Below are 19185 nucleotides of genomic sequence, written 5' to 3'. Positions count from 1 at the left end.
TGGTGCAACCACTATGGAAAACAGTAGGGTGGATTCTCAAAAAACTAAAGACAAAATTACCATGTGATCCAGCAATTCTACTTCTGGATGTGTATCCAAGGAATTGAAAGTAGGGTCTCAAAGAGATATTTGTATACCTATGTTCATAGCAGCATTATTCACAATAGTGAAAAAGTGGAAACTACCCAAGTGTCTATCAATGGATGGGTTGATACATAAAATGTGGTATATACATGCAATGGGATATTGTTCAGCCCTAAAAAAGGAAAAAAGTTCAACACATCCTATAACATGGATGAACCTTGAGGGCACGGTGCTAAGTGAAATAAGCCAGTCACAAAAGGACAAGTACGGTGTGATTCCACTTAATATAAGGTACCTAGAGTAGTCAGATTAATCAAAACAGAAAGTAAAATGATGGTAGCAGAGGAGATGAAGAATTACTGTATAATGGGTACAGGGTTTCAATTTTACAAGATGAAAAAGGGTTCTGCAGATGGAGAGTGGTGATGGTAGCACAATGCAAATGTACTTAATACCACTGAACTGTACTAATTGAAACAGTTATGATGAATTTATATATATTTTATTACAGTTTCAAAAATTAAGATTAAAGAACAAAAGGTAAGTAATTTGTTCAATGTTACCCAGTTCAGGGTTGCAGGTGGACTCTAGATTTGTGGGAAGAGACCACACGCACAACTTTTGAGTTAGATCAAGTTTCTCATGAAATTAGCTTACTGGCAGCAAGGTGACCATATAGACAAGAGCCACAGCAGCAGATCTGCCTCCCTGTCGCCTTGGCCCTTAGAGTGACACTGGCCATGCAACATAGAATCTTCTAGAGCTGAGCAGCTTAGTTCCTGATAGACTAACATTGTTTTACACTCAGAACATGTCACCACTCATGAAAACTTGACACTATTTTTGTGCTTTATTAAAGGGAGTGTTTACATCATTAGGGGACTCTCGTTTCAGCCTTCGGATTTCCTCTAGGCTGTCAGATTGGGATGGTTTCTTTGTCTTTATTTTCTAAATCAGAAAGGAGAAAATTGTAAAAGCAAAGTTAGCCTACTAAACATAGTTGTGTCCTATGGGAGCACCTTTCAAACCAAACATAAAATGTGATGAAACCTTTTTTAAGGTTTGACTAAATGTGTTTAATGTTGTCAAATTTACTATTTCTGCATACAGGGATTGTTGCATCACATTCCCTTCATTGAACTGGGTGGGCTTTGGAGTTAAGTCTATTCCATATCCTGCCTCCCCCACATTCTGTTTGTATTTGTGTCACCTGGATTCAATCACCTAACTTCCCTGAGCCTTGGTTTCGTCCTCTGAAAAGTACATGTAGTGATGAGTATTTCAGAGGATTAAGATCAGGACTAAATAATGCGGCCAGGCATGGTGGCTTACTCCTGTAATCCCAGCACTTTGGGAGGCTGAGGCAGGCGGATCTCTAGAGCTCAGGAGTTCAAGACCAGCCTGGGTAACATGGCTAAATCCTGTCTCTACAAAAAAATATTAATCGAAAAATTGTTTGGGCATATTGACACACATCTGTGGTCCCAGCTACTCGGGAGGCTGAGGTGGGAGGATCACTGGAGCCCAGGAGTTTGAGGCTGCAGTGAGTCGAGGTTGCACCACTACACTCTAGCCTGGGCAACAGGAGTGAGACCTTGTTAAAAAAAAAAAAAAAAAGACAGAATAATGCTGCCTGTGAAGCAGTCAGTGTATAGTAGATGCTTAACTCCTTTTTATGAACAGTTTACCAGTGTACTTAGTGCAAGTTTTGTTCTAAATCTGTTTTTAAGAAGTTACCACTCATTCATTTAGCACATATGTATTTTATGACTTATTCATTTAGCACATATGTATTTATTAACTATTGGGTACCAACTCTGCACTTAGTGTTGGGGTACACTAGTGAGAAAGACAGATTGTGCCCTCCAGAGCTATCAAGCAGGCATTAAATAATCACTTAACTATAGGTTTGTGCTGGAAAGGAAACATCAGAGAGGTTGGTAACTTTAGCTTTCCTCTTGGTCTTTTTTATCCCCTTAGGAAATTAAGTGTTAAATCCATTACGAACCCTCGATACCTGGACAGCCTGGGGAACCCATCGGCAAACGGCCTGTACGATTTAGCTTTGGGCCCTGCAGATTCCAAAGAGGTGTGCTCCACCTGCGTGCAGGACTTCAGCAACTGTTCTGGGCACCTGGGCCACATTGAGCTCCCACTCACAGTGTATAACCCTCTCCTCTTCGATGTAAGTGCTGCCTTAGTTGTGTGGGTCTCCGGGCTGCTGGTGGGATTTGTGAGTGCTGCCTCTCTCCCACAAGAGTGGTCTAAGGAGGTTAAGCCCCAGGCACTCCAATGAAAGCATTCTGTAGAATGAGATTTTGAAGTTTTGAGCCAAATACAATAACTTCAACTTACCCTGTGGCCCTAAATAAATGAATATCAGTTTGATTCCAGTTGAATAGAGCCACAGCCTGATTCCGTTTGCGTGGAGGGTCGGGGAGAGTTCAGATTCATTCCCTACACCTTTTGTTGCAGGGGCTTTGTGCTCTTCAGAAATCTCAGTGGCACCTGCCTGGTAATAGAGAGAACTTCAGTGTTCTCAGGGTCTCCCTGAGCCCTTCAGGTGTCTCTATAGGCACTTGTGTGGTGGCAGGAGAAGCAAAGCCCCAGAAAGCCCAACAGTGAGGTCAGAATGAAGCTCCTGTTTAGAGTCATGCTGGTACATTTTCAGCTTTTTATTTCAGCTAACCTCACCTCCAGGATTTTTTTTTTTAAGCTACACATATGTTGGTATACATGGACATGATTTTTGTCTGTTAATCGTGTTAAAGAGAAGTGTCTTTTTTTTTTTTTTTTAAGACAGTGTCTCATTCCGTCTCCCAGGCTGGAGTGCAGTGGCACGATCTTGGCTCACTGTAACCTCTGCCTCCTGGATTCAAGTGATTCTTGTGCCTCAGCCTCCCTAGTAGCTGGGATTACAGGCACGCACCACCATGCCCAGCTAATTTTTGTATTTTTACAAAAATTACGGGAGACAGGTTCATCATGTTGGCCAGGCTGGTCTCAAACTCCTGGCCTCAAGTAACTGGCCTCAAGTGATCTGCCCACCTTGGCCTCCCAAAATGCTGGGATTACGGGCATGAGCCACCGCACCTGGCTGAGAAGTCTCTTAATTAAATCTTGGAATAAAATAAAGATATTTTTCTACCTCAGGTTGTACGCCCAAAGTAAATTTCAAATCTAAATGGATTAAAATAAAACCTTAAAAGAAAATAGAGGGTAATATTTATCTGGTTCTTAAGATAACAAAGGCCTTTCTAAGCATGTAGGCTGAAGTAGAGTTTTTAAAGGAATAGACTGACTACATAAAGAAACTTGTGAGTATACCGAAAATCACCATGGCTACTGTGTCTCTTTCTAATATCCTGTTTGTTTTTATTCCCTCTCTTCAGAAGCTGTACCTGCTGCTTCGGGGCTCTTGTTTAAACTGCCACATGCTGACTTGTCCCCGGGCCGTGATTCACCTCTTACTCTGCCAGCTGAGGGTTCTGGAAGTCGGGGCCCTACAAGCAGTCTACGAGCTTGAGAGAATTCTGAACAGGGTAGGTGGGTAGTGGTGGTCACAGAAATCAGAAAAGGCAAAGTGGTGTGGGGAACAAGAGATGCTTGTATGTTGTCCTAGTTACCATGCCGATAGTCATCAGAACGTTTGATCTTTATATCTTATAACTGGATACCAATAGCTGAGTGTGAAAACAGGAAGCTATAAGAATAATAAAAGAAATGTTCATAGAAACAATAGTGAAATACCATTTAATCCATTTATGAGCTTTTGCTGATTTTCTGGACCAAGGATTCAATCAAGGTTTATTCAATCAAAAGACATTGCTTTTGATTGTTACATCTCTTTGATCTGTCTTAAAGTAGAACATTGTAATGTAGAAAATTCTTTTTCATGATACCAACTTTTTTGGAGACTCAAAGCCAGTTGTCTTATAGGATTTCTTACATTTTAGATTGTCCGATTATTTCTTGTAATTAGATTCACATTTTGGCAAGAATACAACCTACATGATACAGGGTACTTTGTATTGCATCATTTTAGGAGGCATATGTCAGGTTGTTCACCTATTGGTAATGCTTACTTTGTTTACTTCTTGTATTTGGTTTTTTTGGTCTTTTTTTGTATTAACACATAATATTTACACATATTTTATGGGGTACATAGTGATGGTGTGATACAGACAGTGTATAGTGATCAGATCAGGATAATTAGCATATCAGTTCTCTCAAACATTTATCATTTCTTTGTGTTGCGAACATGCAATATTCTCCTTCTAGCTGTTTGAAACTATATTATTGTTAGCTATGGTCATCCTATAATGGTGTAGAACACTAGAATTTATTCCTCCTGTCTAATTGTAATTTTATCTCCTTTAACAAATCTCTTCCTGTTCCCCTCCTTTCCCTACCCTACTCAGCCTCTAGTATTCTCTATTCTACTTTTACTTCTATGAGATCAACTTTATTTTTGGCTTCCACATATGAGTAGGAACTTGCAGTGTTTAACTTTCTGTTCCTGGCTTATTTCACGTAATGTCCTCCAGTTCCATCTATGTTGTTGCAAATGACAGGATTTCATGCTTTATTATGGCCAAATAGTATTCCATTATGTATATATACCACATTTGCTTTATCCCTTTATCTATTGTTGGACATCTAGGTTGGTTCCATATCTTGGCTATTGTGAATAGTGCTGCAATAACCATGGGGGTGCAGGTATCTCTTTGATATACCAATTTCTTTTCCTTTGGATAAATGCCTAATAGTGGGATGCTGGATCATATGGAAGTTGTATTTGTAGTTATTTGAGGAACCTTCATATGTTTCCCGTAGTGGCTATACTAGTTTACATTCCCACCAACAGTGTATAAGAGTTCCCTTTTCTCCACATCCTCACCAGCATTTGCTTTTTTTTTTTTTTTTTTTTTTTTTTTTGTCTTTTGGGGATAGCCATCCTAATGGGATGAGATGAAACCTTATTGTGGTTTTGATTTGTGTTTTTGTGTTTTCTCAATGACTAGTGATGTTGAACATTTTTTCATATATTTGTTGGCCATTTGTATGTGTTTTGAGAAATGTTTGTTCAGATCATTTGCCCATTTTTTAATCGAATTGTTTGGGATTTTTGCTGTTGAGATGTTTGAGTTCCTTACATATTCTGGATATTAAGCCTCTGTCCCTAAGATGAATAGTTTGCAAATATTTTCTCCTATTCCGTAGGTTGTCTTTTCACTCTGTTGACTGACTACTTTGTTGTGCAGAAGCTTAGTTTGATAAAATCTCATTTGTTTATTTTGGCTTTTGTTGCCTGTGCTTTGAGGTCTGATTCATAAAATATTTTTCCAGACCTTATATTTAGGTCATTGATCAATTTTGAGTTGACTTTTGTAGAGGGGAGCAGTGGAGATCTAGTTTCATTCTTCTGCATATGGATATCTAGTTTTCCCAGCATCATTTATTAAAGGCACTGTCCTTTTCCCCAGTGTATGTTCTTGGCACCTTTTGCAAAAATCAGTTGGCTGTAGATATGCAGATTAATTTTTGGGTTCCCTGTTTTCATTGGCCTTTGTTTCTGTTTTCATGCCAGTATCCTACTGTTTTGGTTACTACAGCTTTGTAGTATATTTTGAATTCTGGTAGTGTGATGCCTCCAGCTTTGTTCTTTTTACTCAAGATTGCTTTGGCCATTCAGGGTCTTTTATGGTTCTATACAAATGTTACAATTTTTTTTTTTCTGTTTCTGCAAAGAATGTCATTGGTATTTTGATAGGGATTGTACTGAATCTGTAAATTGCTTTGGGTAGTGTAGTAATTTTAACAATATTAATTATTCTGATCTATAAGTATGGGATGTTTTTCCATTTGTATCCTCTCCAGTTTCTTTCGTCACTGTTTTGCAGTTTTCCAAGAGTCTTTCACATCCTTGGTTAAATTTATTCCTAGGTATTTTTTTGGTAGCTATTATAAACGGGATTGCCTTCTTGATTTCTTTTTCAGCTAATTCATTGTTTGTGTATAAAAGTGCTACTGATTTTTTTTATCCTGCAACTTTACTGAGTTTGTTTATGAGTTCTAAGAGGTTTTTGGTAGAGTCTAGGTTTTTCTATATATGAGATTATGTCGGCTGGGTGCAGTGGCTCACACCTGTAATCCCAGCACTTTGGGAGGCCGAGGCAGGTGGATCACAAGGTCAGGAGATCGAGACCATCCTAGCTAACACGAAGAAACCCCATCTCTACTAAAAATACAAAAAAATTAGCTGGGGGTGGTGGCAGGCGCCTGTAGTCCCAGCTACTCCGGAGGCTGAGGCAGGAGAATGGCGTGAACCCAGGAGGCAGAGCTTGCAGTGAGCCAAGATCGCGCCACTGCACTCCAGCCTGGGTAACAGAGCAAGACTCCATCTCAAAAAAAAAAAAAAAGAAAAGAATATGTAATCTGTAAACAGGGACATTTTTACATCCTTCTTTTCAGTTTGGATGCCTTTTCTTTCTCTTGCCTAATTTCTCTGGCTGGTTACTTTTGGATAAAGTGGGGATGACCAGATCTCTATTGTAAAGAGATACTTTTTCATAGTTAATATTTACATTAGAATTTCTGGTGCTATTAAAAATACCTTATTTAAAATTTCATTTTGTTTGTTGATATGTAAAAATGTTATTGATTATTTTTGAAGCAACGTGGCAAAATTGTCTCATCAATTCTGACAGTTTATCTGTAGATATTTTTAGATTTTCAATACAATCCTATCTGCAAATACTGGCCTTTTTGTTCCTTTCCAAGCCTTGTATGTTTTCTTTTGATGGCTAGGATCTACATTACTGTGTTGAAGTGGTAGTGGGTATCTTTGTCTTATTTCTTGTCACATAGAAAAGTTGTTCCCCTTTCCTCTTCTCCTCCCTCTTCTTGGATGCTTCAGTCCCGAAGACATTAGGTGGGCAGAGCAAGCTGGGATTCCCCAAAGAGACATGGCCTAGTATGTGGTGTCTGAGCCACAGCAGAGTGAGCAAAGCTTCGTGGGAAGGGTGTCCCTGCACAGGGACTCAGCCAGAGCAGAGTGAGAGGGGATCCCTGCACATGTGGGCAGCCCTGTGCGGAATACCAGAGCTCGAATAGGGTAAGGAGGATGTTCATTTGGAGATAAAGGCACAGCTTAGAGTGTGAGAGCCCAAATCAGGTGAGAGGGTGCCTGTGCAGGGTGACCCAGCATGGGATGTATGAGCCCAAATATGATAAGGAGGGGTCCACAAGGAGGGTGGGCTCATGTGGAGCTTGAGCCCAATTTGGGTGAGGGCTCCACACCGAGGAGGGGATGACAGTGGCAGTGGTGGGAGAGTGGTTACATACGGGGAGAGAGAGAGATGTTGATGAATAAGTACTTAATTGATCGAATACATACTTAAGGATAATGGGGGCCAGGTTTTAACTATCAGAGAAGAGAGTTACAAATATATGAAAGAGAGAAGACAGAATTAATCCTGTATTGTTAAAATGGAATTAAAAGTTCGGGTGTAAAGTGTGTGTACACATGTATTTTCCCCTGGCCCTGTCCCTGAAAGGGCTCAGAGGAGTGATAGCACCTAGCACCCCCTTCTTGTTTTCTAAATACCATTCTCCACTAAAAAAGCTTCTTGGAGAAATAGCTGATCTAGAGCTGGGACAGAGAAAGTACAAGACCAGCCTGGAATGTCACATGCCAGAAAGGAAGTATGTGCTCAAAGAACGATTGGACATGTCCAAAGGGCACAAAAGCCTGTGTGAAGGGCCCACACTGGCCAAATCTAGGACAGTTTGAGCATCATAATAAATGATGATACTAAGTGATTATAACCCATTGAATAAAGTAGGAATCCATGAACCTACTTTTATGTTGATATAAATGAAAGAATGAATTGAGTGACTGAAAGTTTAACAGGCTACTAACGCACTTTCAAAGTACCCTCCCTCCCATACACACACATAGTCTTTTTTAATTACAAAGGTCAGAGAGAGAGAATAACTTTACCATGGAAAAGACTTCTTGCCTGGCAGTCACCCCTTTATTCAAGTGATCAAAGTGAAGCATACCTGATGGGACCAGTTGAAAGAACACAACATCGCTTCTGGATATTCCTGCCAAAGATGTGTTAGCCGAATCTGATCATGAGGAAACATCAGACATGCCCGCAATCGAGGGATATTCTATAAAACTTGCCTTTAATCTTCAAAACTGCTAATGACTAAAGTTAAAGACTAAGGAACTATTCTAAACAAAGGAGACTAAAAAGTGTAACAGATGGCTCTAAACTGGATACTTTTGCTGTAAAGGACATTAGTATTATTTTGAGACAGAGTCTGGCCCTGTTATCCAAGTTAGAGTACAGTGGCACTATCTCGGCTCTCTGCAACCTCTGCCTCCGGGGTTCAAGCGATCTCCCACCTCAGCCTCACGAGTAGCTGGAACTACAGGCATGCACCACCACACCCGGCTAATTTTTGTATTTTTTTAGTCAAGATGGGGTTTTGCTGTTTTGGCCGGGCTGGCCTTGAACTCCTGACCTCAAGCGATCCACCTGGCTCAGCCTCCCAGAGTGCTGGGATTACAGGCATGAGCCATCACTCCCAGCCTGTAAAGGATATTATTAAAGGAGTTGGCAAAATTTGAATGTTGTTTGAGGATTAGAAGGTAATAATTTATCAGTGCTAAGTTACCATTTTTTGATGATCGTATCACGGTCATATTTGTGAGTGTCCATGTTTATAGAAAATGTTCACCAAAGTATTTGGGGTTGTTGGTATATCAGATCAGCAGTGTACTGTCAAATGGTTCAAGAAAGATAGATTTCTGGAAATACTTGGAATTTTTCTATAAATTTGAGATTGTTTCAAAATATAAATAAATTATACCCTTAAAATAGGGAACCCTTTCGACATTTCACTATTAAGTATGGTGTTTACTGAGCTTTTAATCGGATTAAGGAAGCTCCTTTGTATTCCTATTTTGCTGTGGTGGCTAAATATTACATTTTATCAAATACCTTTTCAATATATACTGAAATTTTCAGATAATTTGGCTCCTTTTAAACCAGCTAACATGGTGAATGACTCCATTCCTTTCCTAATGTTAAATTAACCTGGGATTCCTGGGATAAACCCAAATTGTTTATGATATATTACCTTTTTAATATGTTGTTGGATTTGATTTCTTAATATTTTACTTGGGATTTTTGCCTCTGTAATCATGAGTGAGATTGGTTTACATTTCCTTTCTCCTATTGTCTTTTTGGGTTTTGGTATCTAGATTATGTCAGCCTCATAAAATAAGTAACATAATTCTTTCTTTTTTTTTGAGAGAGAGTCTCACTCTGTTGCCCAAGCTGGAGTGCAGCAGCACAATCTTGGCTCGCTGCAGCCTCCACCTCCCGGGTTCAAGTGATTCTGGTGCCTCAGCTTCCCAAGTAGCTGGGATTATAGGCATATGCTACCACGCCCAGCTAATTTTTGTATTTTTAGTAGAGACAGGGTTTCACCATGTTGGCCAGGCTGGTCTTGAAATCCTGGCCTCAAGTGATCCACCCACCTTGGCCTCCCAAAGTGCTGGGATTACAGGCATGAGCCACTGTGCCCAGCCGAGTTAGATAATTCTCTCTTTAAAACGCCCTGGAGGAGATTGGAGACATAGTATGCCAGCAGGGCAGTGTCACACATTTCTCTTCAGCAGGTGTCCTCACAGGGACTAGTTGTCTTTGGCTCCCCACATGACAGACGACTGCTCAAACGCAAAGGAACGAGATCACATCAGCGGCTATGGGAGCCCCCCTGGCCTAGAGGCCCCATCTCCCAGAAAGGAATCAATATCGTTTCTAACAGTTCCATGGGCTGTGCTTCCAGGGACCGTAGGATATGCCCAGCTAGGACCCAGGGAAGCTCAGAGCTGTAGTCTTTCCAGTCCAGATGTAGCCTAACCAATTGGGGTCATTTTTACCATCAGTAGTGTTGCCTAATAACACAACTGACATTTCCACTTTTATTTATTTATTTTTATTTATTTATTTTTTGAGACAGAGTCTTGCTCTGTTACCCAGGCTGGAGTGCAGTGGCACAGTCTTGGCTCACTGCAACCTCTGCCTCCCAGGCTAAAGCGATTCTCCTGCCTCGGCCTCCTTGAGTAGCTGGGACTACAGGCAAACGCCACCATGCCCAGCTAATTTTTTGTATTTTTAGTAGAGATGGGGTGTCACCATGTTGGCCAGGCTGGTCTTGGACTCCTGACCTCAGGTGATCTGCCTGCCTTGGCCTCACAAAGTGCTGGGATTACAGGTGTGAGCCACCGTGCCCGGCCTATTTCTACTTTTATTGCATTTATGAGGGAACAGAGCTAAAAAGTTAACTCATGGTCAAATTTGTCCGAAAGACAGATTGAGAGAGAGAAAGAAAGGATTTTCTTAAACCAGCGCTCACAGTAAGTTACATGTTTCTAGGAATTTCCCCATTTCATTTAAAGTTTCAGATTTATTGGCATAAAATTATTCATGGTGCCTACTATTATACCTTAAACTTTTTTTTGTAAAATATATACAGAAATGCATTAATTATATGTACAGTCCAATACAAAGTAACTATCACCCTTACAGTCCAGTTCAATGTCAGCATATTGTTTATGTCCCCAAAAACCCTCCCTCCTTTCCCTGTCCCCTTGTGTATTTATTTTTGACAGTTTGTCTGTCATTGACCTTTAAAAATTCTTTGTTGGGGCTGGACACAGTGGATAATGCCTGTAATCCTAGCACTTTGGGAGGCTGAGGTGGGAGGATTGCTTGGGCCCAGGAGTTAAAGAGCAGCCTGGGCAACATAACAAGATGCTATCTCTAGTTTTCTAATAATTATAAAAATAAATGTAAAAATAAAAATTATTTATGGGAATAATTTGAGGGCTAGGATGACGCTGCCTTCTCCAGAGAAGATTCTCATTGCTTCTGCTGTGTGCATGGCACTGATGCCAACTTGGGACTGTCATTATCCAGGTTCAACGCTTAAAGCTCCCTGGATGGCCTGAGTGATTGTACAAGGGCTGGTAGTTCCTGAGAGTATAGTCCTTTGTGTTCCGGCTTACTATGTTTATGTGTTGGGGGGTGAAGAATGATGGCTTCCTGTTAGATTTCTAACCTTATACTAAAAAAGCTTTAGGTTTTTAAATTTGTTCTTTTTAAAGGCAGGATCTCACTGTGTGGCTTAGGCAAGCAGTGGAGTAGTGCAGTGGCAATTCACAGGTACGATCATAGCGCACTGCAGCCTCAAACACCTGGGCTCAAGCGAGCCCCTGCCTCAGCATCTGGAGTAGCTGGGACTACAGAGGCACCACTGTGCCCAGCTTAGGTTAAGACTTTCATTTCTGTTTCCTACATCATTTGAGAGTTTGTGAATAAAAAGTTCAAAATTGCTGCATTGGAAAATGCACTCAAGGCCAGGGCTCCTGGGGAGCATCATAGGCATATTCCCTGGGGCACATGAGTATACCAAGTGATGTCCTGCTTCAGCACAGCACCAAAGCCCTGCATCAGCGCATGTGGCTGCATGCTCTTTCATCTTGCTAGATTCCTAGTTCCCCTTTAGTTTGCTCTGGTTATTTATTCCTCACTGTCCTGTCGGCTCTTCAGAACATTAAGGTTTTAAAAATATTTTAACCTATCTTGGCTCTTTGCAGTCTTAGGTTTGGTCTGGGGAATCTAGCCCACCATTATTGGACGTAGGATGTTCTCATTTGATTTTTTTTTTTTTTTTTTTTTTGAGATGGTGTCTGGCTCTGTACCCAGGCTGGAGTGCAGTGGTGCAATCTTGGCTCACTGCAACATTCCCCTCCCAGCGATCTCCTCACATCATCCTACCAAGTAGCTGGGACCACAAGTGGATGCCACCACACCTGGCTAAGTTTTTGTACTTTTGGTAGAGACAGGATTTCACCATGTTGCTCAGGCTGGTCTCAAACTCCTGAGCTCTAGTGATCCGCCTGCCTCTGCCTCCCAAAGTGCTGGGATTACAGGTGTGAGCCACCACGCCTGACCTTGTTTGATTTTTTTCAACAGCGATGCTGTCTCACTCTTTTGAAAGTGCAACACAGTAGCCATAGTTTCTTTTTCTCCCTTCAAATGAATCTTTTCCACCCTTGGAGAGGTTGGTCCCAGTTGTGCTGCTCATCAGAGGTGTACATTACTGTGATAATGGAGTTTTCCTCTTTGTTTTCCAGTTTCTGGAAGAAAATCCCGATCCCTCTGCCTCTGAAATTCGGGAGGAATTAGAACAATACACAACTGAAATTGTGCAGAACAACCTCCTGGGGTCCCAGGGCGCACATGTGAGTTAACACTGTCTTTCTCCCATGCTGTTTTGGGCATCATTTTATCACTTTCCCTCTGTGTTGTCCTTTGCATATACTTCTGGCTTCCCAAAGTAGACCTGAGTTTGCATCTGAGCTCTGTCTCTTGTGAGACCTGCAACCTCACAAATTACACAACTGTCCCTGAGTGTCCACTATCTAATCTCTAATGCCTGCCTGCAGGACCAATGAGAGGATTATGTGACATATGATTTCGGTATAGCATCCAGCAAGCCTCTTCTTAAAAAATGGCAGCAGGTCTTTTTTTCCTTCTCCAACACTTCTCTCTAACCCACTGCTACCTTATTCTCCCCTTCATATACTGCCTAAGTATTAATTTGTTCAACGAATGAATGAATGGGTAGATAATTCACCTGTGATACTAGTCTTGGAATCTGCTTCACTTCATGCCTTGGTTTCACACCAGAGATGCTGATTTAATTGGTCTGGGGTAGGGTCCAAGTGGAGTTACAAAAGCTCCCAGATGATTCCCATCTGCTGCCAGGTGCAGAGCCACTCATGTGGCTGGACTGTGGATGTGCCTTCCTTAGAACCCTGAGGTCCTTCTGAGGCAGGCCAGCTGCATCCAGAGGGCTTCCTTTTACAAGTGAAAGTAACTAGCACTTATTGAGTACTGGCTGTATTTCAAGCCCCCACTGCATTCATGATTCTTTGTCTTAGTAAGAGCTTACTGAGGTGGTTACTATTCTTATTCCCATATTATAATTGAGAAACTGAAGGCTTAAAGAAGTCACTCAGTAATTGTCAGAGCTCAAGTGTATTAGGGTTCTATGGAAGATTTTGTTTAAGAAAGTGGTGGTGGGGGTGTTTCCGCTGGTTAAAAATAAAAGGTGAAAACCATAAAGTAAATATATTGGATTCTCTTCAAAATGGCACTCCAAGGTTCTCTGACTTTTTTTAAAAAAACAGGTAAAGAACGTGTGTGAGAGCAAGAGCAAGCTCATTGCTCTCTTCTGGAAGGCACATATGAATGCTAAGCGCTGTCCCCACTGCAAGTAAGTATCAGGGCCCTTGCGCCAGGTGAGACGTCTCTGGGCAGTCACTCATTGCTATTATTAAATATCTTACTGGGTTTTTTCTCTCTTCAATCACAACTGTCCTCCTGCACAGGACCGGGCGATCCGTTGTCCGAAAGGAACACAACAGCAAGTTGACTATCACGTTTCCAGCCATGGTGCACAGGACAGCTGGCCAGAAGGACTCTGAGCCCCTGGGTGAGCAGGCTGGGTCTGGAGAGGAGCTCCATGTGAGGCCAGCAGATGTGTCCTAAACCCTGGGAATACCTGGTTCTCCTCACCACGTGTTTCTCTGCTGCATTTGGGAGGGGCCAGCAGAGGCACAGTGTGCAGGCCTCTCAGGCCTGAGGGGACCCTGGCAAGCGCCCAGCTCAGGCCTCTCACATGGGAGAGCTGATGGGAGGGGCTGTTTTATGAGGCAGTGCCCCACAGGCGCCTCTTGCCTTAGGTGGTCGTTTTTCTGAAAGGTTTTTCAGGAAGAAATTAAGAAATTTACCTGACAAATATTTTGAAACATTTTACTGTAAAACAAGTGTGGATCTATTTTGGAATAAAATGTAGGCGAATAATTTTTAAGAAAAACTGCAAGAATTCAGCAAAACATGAGCGCCTCCTGCAGGCTACTCCTGGCTGTCCACCCAGATCCCCCCAGGTAGAATTCTTTCCTCAGCTCTGCCCTACCCAAGCTCTGCTTGGGAAAAATTTTGAGATAACTTAATACTCCCACTTTTTAATTTTTATAGTCATAGGCTTATTTAAAAATGTTTTTTGGTTTTTATTCTGAAGTGGTCAGAAGATTAAATAGAGTATTCCAAGAGAAGCACTGAGAGCGGTACCTGCTGTGTAATATGTGCTATGTAAATGTTAACTGTTCATTTCTTATTATGTCATCAGTGTTCCAGGGTAGAAAATGCATAACCTGGCTGGGCACGGTAGCTCACACCTGTAATCCCAGTACTTTGGGAGGCTGAGGCAGGCAGATCACTTGAGGTCTGGAGTTCAAGACCGGCCTGGCCAACGTGGTGAAACCCCATCTCTGCTAAAAACACAAAAATTAGCCAGGCGTGGTGGCGGGCACCTGTAATCTCAGCTACTCAGGAGGCTAGGGCAGGAGAATCGCTTGAACCCAGGAGGCGCACTCTGCAGTGAGCTGAGATCGTGCCACCGCACTCCAGTCTGGGTGACAGAGCAAGACTCCGTCTCAGAAAAAGAAAGAAAAAGCACAACCTGCAATTGTCACTTGGCTCTGCCACTTTTTCTGAGTGGCAGATAGAAGGCTGTTTTGAGGCGTTTCCATTTCTAACTCTATATAATGGCATTCCTAAAGCCTCTTGCCTAGAATTGAGGAAGTTACATGCATGGCAGTCCATAGCAGATACTGTTACTAAACCTTTCACCAGGGTTTGAGAATATGGGATAAGCATGGAAATAAGATCCCCTCCTGGAGATGCATGATGTATGTTTTACATTGAACACTCTGGCATGGCCTGGACTAAATGAAAAACCTGTTTAATATTTTTTTAAAATGTTATAGTTTAGGATAATTTTTAGACTTAATAGAAGAGTAGTAAACATAGTACAGAGAATTCCTTAATACTGTTTACTTCATTTGCCCTACTGTATAACATAGTAGATTACCATGGTGCATTTGTCAAAACTGAGTTTAACATTGGTGCAACACTATTATCTAAACTACAGACTTTTTAAATTTTGCTGGTTTTCCAGTAATTTCCTTTTTATGCTCCAGGATCCAACCCAGGATACCACACTGCATTTAGAAAGCCTTTTTAATTTTGTTTCATGGTTGGTAGTTAACACTGTAAGAGTGGATTTTCCTACACTTAACCATTAAATTGCCCTCAAAACAATTTTCTTGTATTACCAGTTGGGAATTGCTTCTGTAGCCCTTAGGATGCCTTATAAAATGTTCATAGATTGAGAACAAAGATGGTCAGAATTCTTTCTAGAAGATAGTTTTCGTGGGGCAAATGTCCGGCAGGTAAGTAGCCTTTCAATGCCTTCACCAAACCCATTCTTCTAAAGTCATCTTTCATTGCAGCCACGCAAATATGATGGTGCAACCAAAAGTCTGTGCATTAGAAACAAGTAGACCATAGTCTTCTACAGCTCCAGGCTTGGGTATTCAGTATTTAGCACACATTTATTTGTTGGGTGCTCAGCATTATGCCAAGGACCATGTTTGTGATGAGCACAATGCCAGGACACAGACCAGACCATGTGGTCTCTGCTCTCTGAAGGGGCTGCAAGTGACACAGATCAGTAACCCTGGGGAGCAGGTGATGTGGAGGAAAGTGAGCAGCCTCAGCGTGGGTCTGACCATGTTCCTGGTATCAGAGGGAATCAAAAAGTGAGGGCTAGGCTGGGAGTGGTGGCTCACGCCTGTAATCCGAGCACTTCGGGAGGCCGAGTCAGGCGGATCATCTGAAGTCAGGAGGCAGGCAGATCATCTGAGGTCAGGAGTTCAAGACCAGCCTGACCAACATGGTGAAACCCTGTCTCTACTAAAAAAAAAAAAAATTAGCCGGGTGTGGTGGCGCACGCCTGTAATCCCAGCTACTCAGGAGGCTGAGACAGGAGAATCGCTTGAACCCAGGAGGCGGAGGTTGCAGTGAGCCGAGATTGTGCCATTGCACTCCAGCCTGGGCAACAAGAGCGAAACCCCATCTCAAAGAAAAAAAAAAAAGTGAGGGCTGTGCCTGAGTAGTCCCCATGGACTGGTGATCCCACAAGGAGCGCTGTCAGCTTGTGAAATGCCACACGTGCTGCTCCAGTGCGCTCCCTGTGCTCCATGTGCCCCCCTGAGCCCCACAAGGCACATTAACATTTAAAATGAGAATTCATATAGCCAAGACACTTCCAGCCATTGTGATCCCAGGTTATTTGACCTCTGAATCCCTTTTTCCTATGGCACCTCTTACAGCTGAAAGAAAGACACATTCAAGATGCTCTGAAATCCCAGCTAGGCAGAAGGCATTGTTGCAAGCTGCAGAAGTTCTTGTTAGGAGGGGATGCAGCGCATGTGAGGAGATGGGCTTCCACAGCTCTCTTCTGACTTTAAGATCCTGTGATTGAAGAACAGCCTCTGCCTTCACGGTGACTAAACTGCAGTGGGGGCATTGCTGGGACAGGAGCTGAGGAGATTCGACCGATCTTCTTCAGCATTTCCAACCTATTTAGTAGAAGAGAAAGTTCAGACACTCATTTTCAGAAATGCCCACAAAATGCAGGTTAATGGGGTCTGTTTTCTCCCACTGAACATATGTAGCTTTCTAATGCTGTGGTTATCCCTGAAGGTCAAGGCCATTCTTCATTGCATACCCATGCTTCCTTCAGTTGCGTTAACTCATTGAAATATTCTGCTTTTATCGACATCAAAACTTTAAACATGCAGACTCCTTGACTTAGCAGTTCTGCTTTGATGACTTTATCCTAAGGAATTAGAATACTCACAGTGTTGTTTGAATAGTGTATAACTGGACATGGGCCGGGCACGGTGGCTTACACTTGTAATCCCAGCGCTTTGGGAGGCTGAGGCGGGCGGATTGCAAGATCAGTAGATCCAGACCATCCTGGCTAACACGGTGAAACCCCGTCTCTACTAAAAATACAAAAAATTAGCTGGGCGTGGTGGTGGATGCCTGTAGTCCCAGCTACTCGGGAGGCTGAGGCAGGAGAATGGCGTGAACCCAGGAGGCAGAGCTTGCAGTGAGCGAAGATCGTGCCACTGCACTCCAGCCTGGTCGACAGAGCAAGTCTCTGTCTCAGAAAAAAAGAAAATACTGGACATGACTTAAATACCTATTAACAGAGACTACTTAAATTATGGTGCATTTGTTAATTGTTCTCCAAGTTAGGGATTTCTCTAAAAACTTATGATGACATATCCTCTGCAGATTTTAAAGAAACTAGCTGGAGAATTGGAGGTGGAATGAAGCTAGTTTTTAAAAATGGAGGAGGCTGAGGTAGGAGAATCGCATGAACCTGGGAGGCGGAGGTTGCAGTGAGCTGAGATCGTGCCGCTGCACTCCAGCCTGGGTGACGAGCAAGACTCCGTCTTGAAAAAAAAAAAAAAAAAAAGGAAAAGGCAAGAGTGGTGTTTTTAAGTGTAGACTATCTTAGGCTATTTTATATTTGAGCCGTATACTCTTAACTTAGAATTTGCTGTGAGCTAGACACCCTGTCAAGTGTTAGGAACACAGACAAGGCATAGTGCCTGTCCTGATATGTGAATAAAAAAGGAACATTGAGTAATGCTTAGTTTCAGTGGATGTATCCAGAAAAGCTTTTTGGGGTTTTTGTTTTGTTTTGTTTTGTGTTTTTTTTTTTGAGACAGGGTCTCACTTTGTCATCCAGGCTGGAGTGCAGCGATACGATCTCGGCTCCCTACAGCCTCTGCCTCTCAGGTTCAAGCGATTCTCCTGTCTCAGCCTCCCTAGTAGCTGGGATTACAGTCATGTCCAGTATTTTCTTTTTTTCTGAGACGGAGTCTCGCTCTGTTGCCCAGGCTGGAGTGCAGTGGCACAATCTCCGCTCACTGCAAGCTCCGCCTCCTGGGTTCACGCCATTCTCCTGCCTCAGCCTCCCGAGTAGGTGGGACTACAGGCGTCCACCACCATGCCCGGCTAATTTTTGTATTTTTCATAGGGACACGGTTTCCCTGTGTTGGCCAGGCTGGTCTCAAACTCCTCAGGTGATCTGCCTGCCTTGGCCTCCCAAAGTGCCCAGAAAGTTTTGAACCTGAAAGACACACTACTTACTTGTCTTAGGTAATCATCTTAAATGCCTGGTCCCTACCTCCTGAATGGCAGTCCCAAGCCTCGTTTTCTCATGTAACCTGGGTATTGCTGGTAGATGGCATCCCAGAGTGATCTTGCTTAGTGTGAGAAACCAAGCCCAATCTATTCCTCACACACCAGTATGATATTTGTAAAAAGAAGTCAGTATATATTTACCTATAAAAATACTTATTTATCCATAATTCAACTTATATGAACTTTTCTGGTAAAAAACAGGTAGATAAAGATATTTATTATAATGTTACTTATAATAGCAAAATATGGAAATCAATCCAGATGTCCAATTATGAGAATATGGTTAAGTGAATTAGGAATCATCCTTAATGGAATATCACATAGCCATGAAAAATGGTGATCAGGCAAAAGCTACATAGCAACATGCAGACATGCTGATGAGATGATACTAAAAGGGCAAAGTAGTGTGCAAAATAAATCCACACTGAAGATTACAGTTGTGTAAAATACGTGTATAGACAAAAAGGCCTGGAAAACAATATATAAAAGTGATAGGAGTTGTTAATGTGATGGGATTATGGGTAATGTTTTCTTTTACTTTGCTTTTTTTTTTTTTTAGGTTTTATACAATAGCCATATGGTTTTTATTACTATAGAAATGAGATTAAGGGCCAGAGGGAATCCAGGCCTGATAATATGCTACCCTTGAGATTGATTTTTGTGGTCAAGTTGCAGGCTTGGGGATAAAGAATTGATAAATCCCATTGCAGAAAGAGTACCTGTTTCTGATTTATTGCACTTTGATTCTCCTCCTTGGCTCCAGGAATTGAGGAAGCTCAGATAGGAAAACGAGGATACTTAACACCCACCAGTGCCCGCGAACACCTTTCTGCCCTGTGGAAGAATGAAGGTGCTGTATCAGGCTAAAGAAATAGCCTTG

The 19185-nt window shown here is 42.1% G+C and overlaps 1 protein-coding gene and 1 long non-coding RNA gene across 2 annotated transcripts in view; one reads left to right on the top strand and one right to left on the bottom strand.

Moving 5' to 3' along the window:
• The window catches only part of POLR1A (RNA polymerase I subunit A), an 85671-nt gene that overhangs the window by 3650 nt on the left and 62836 nt on the right, over window positions 1–19185 (top strand). The window contains exons 2-7 of the mRNA NM_015425.6: window positions 2065–2269; window positions 3477–3626; window positions 12308–12415; window positions 13367–13452; window positions 13568–13671; window positions 19069–19155. Coding sequence (NP_056240.2) covers window positions 2065–2269; window positions 3477–3626; window positions 12308–12415; window positions 13367–13452; window positions 13568–13671; window positions 19069–19155 — 740 coding nt within the window. The remainder of the gene's footprint in view (window positions 1–2064; window positions 2270–3476; window positions 3627–12307; window positions 12416–13366; window positions 13453–13567; window positions 13672–19068; window positions 19156–19185) is intronic.
• Window positions 916–2514, bottom strand: LOC124907852 (uncharacterized). Its single transcript, XR_007087121.1, has 2 exons — window positions 2440–2514; window positions 916–1032 (listed from the first exon to the last, which is right to left on the bottom strand). It is a non-coding gene; the product is annotated as an uncharacterized LOC124907852 (long non-coding RNA).

The sequence above is a fragment of the Homo sapiens genome, chromosome 2 (genome assembly GCF_000001405.40).
Source record: "Homo sapiens chromosome 2, GRCh38.p14 Primary Assembly".
Classification (NCBI taxonomy): domain Eukaryota; kingdom Metazoa; phylum Chordata; class Mammalia; order Primates; family Hominidae; genus Homo; species Homo sapiens.
This window is presented reverse-complemented; position numbering and strand designations above follow the sequence as displayed.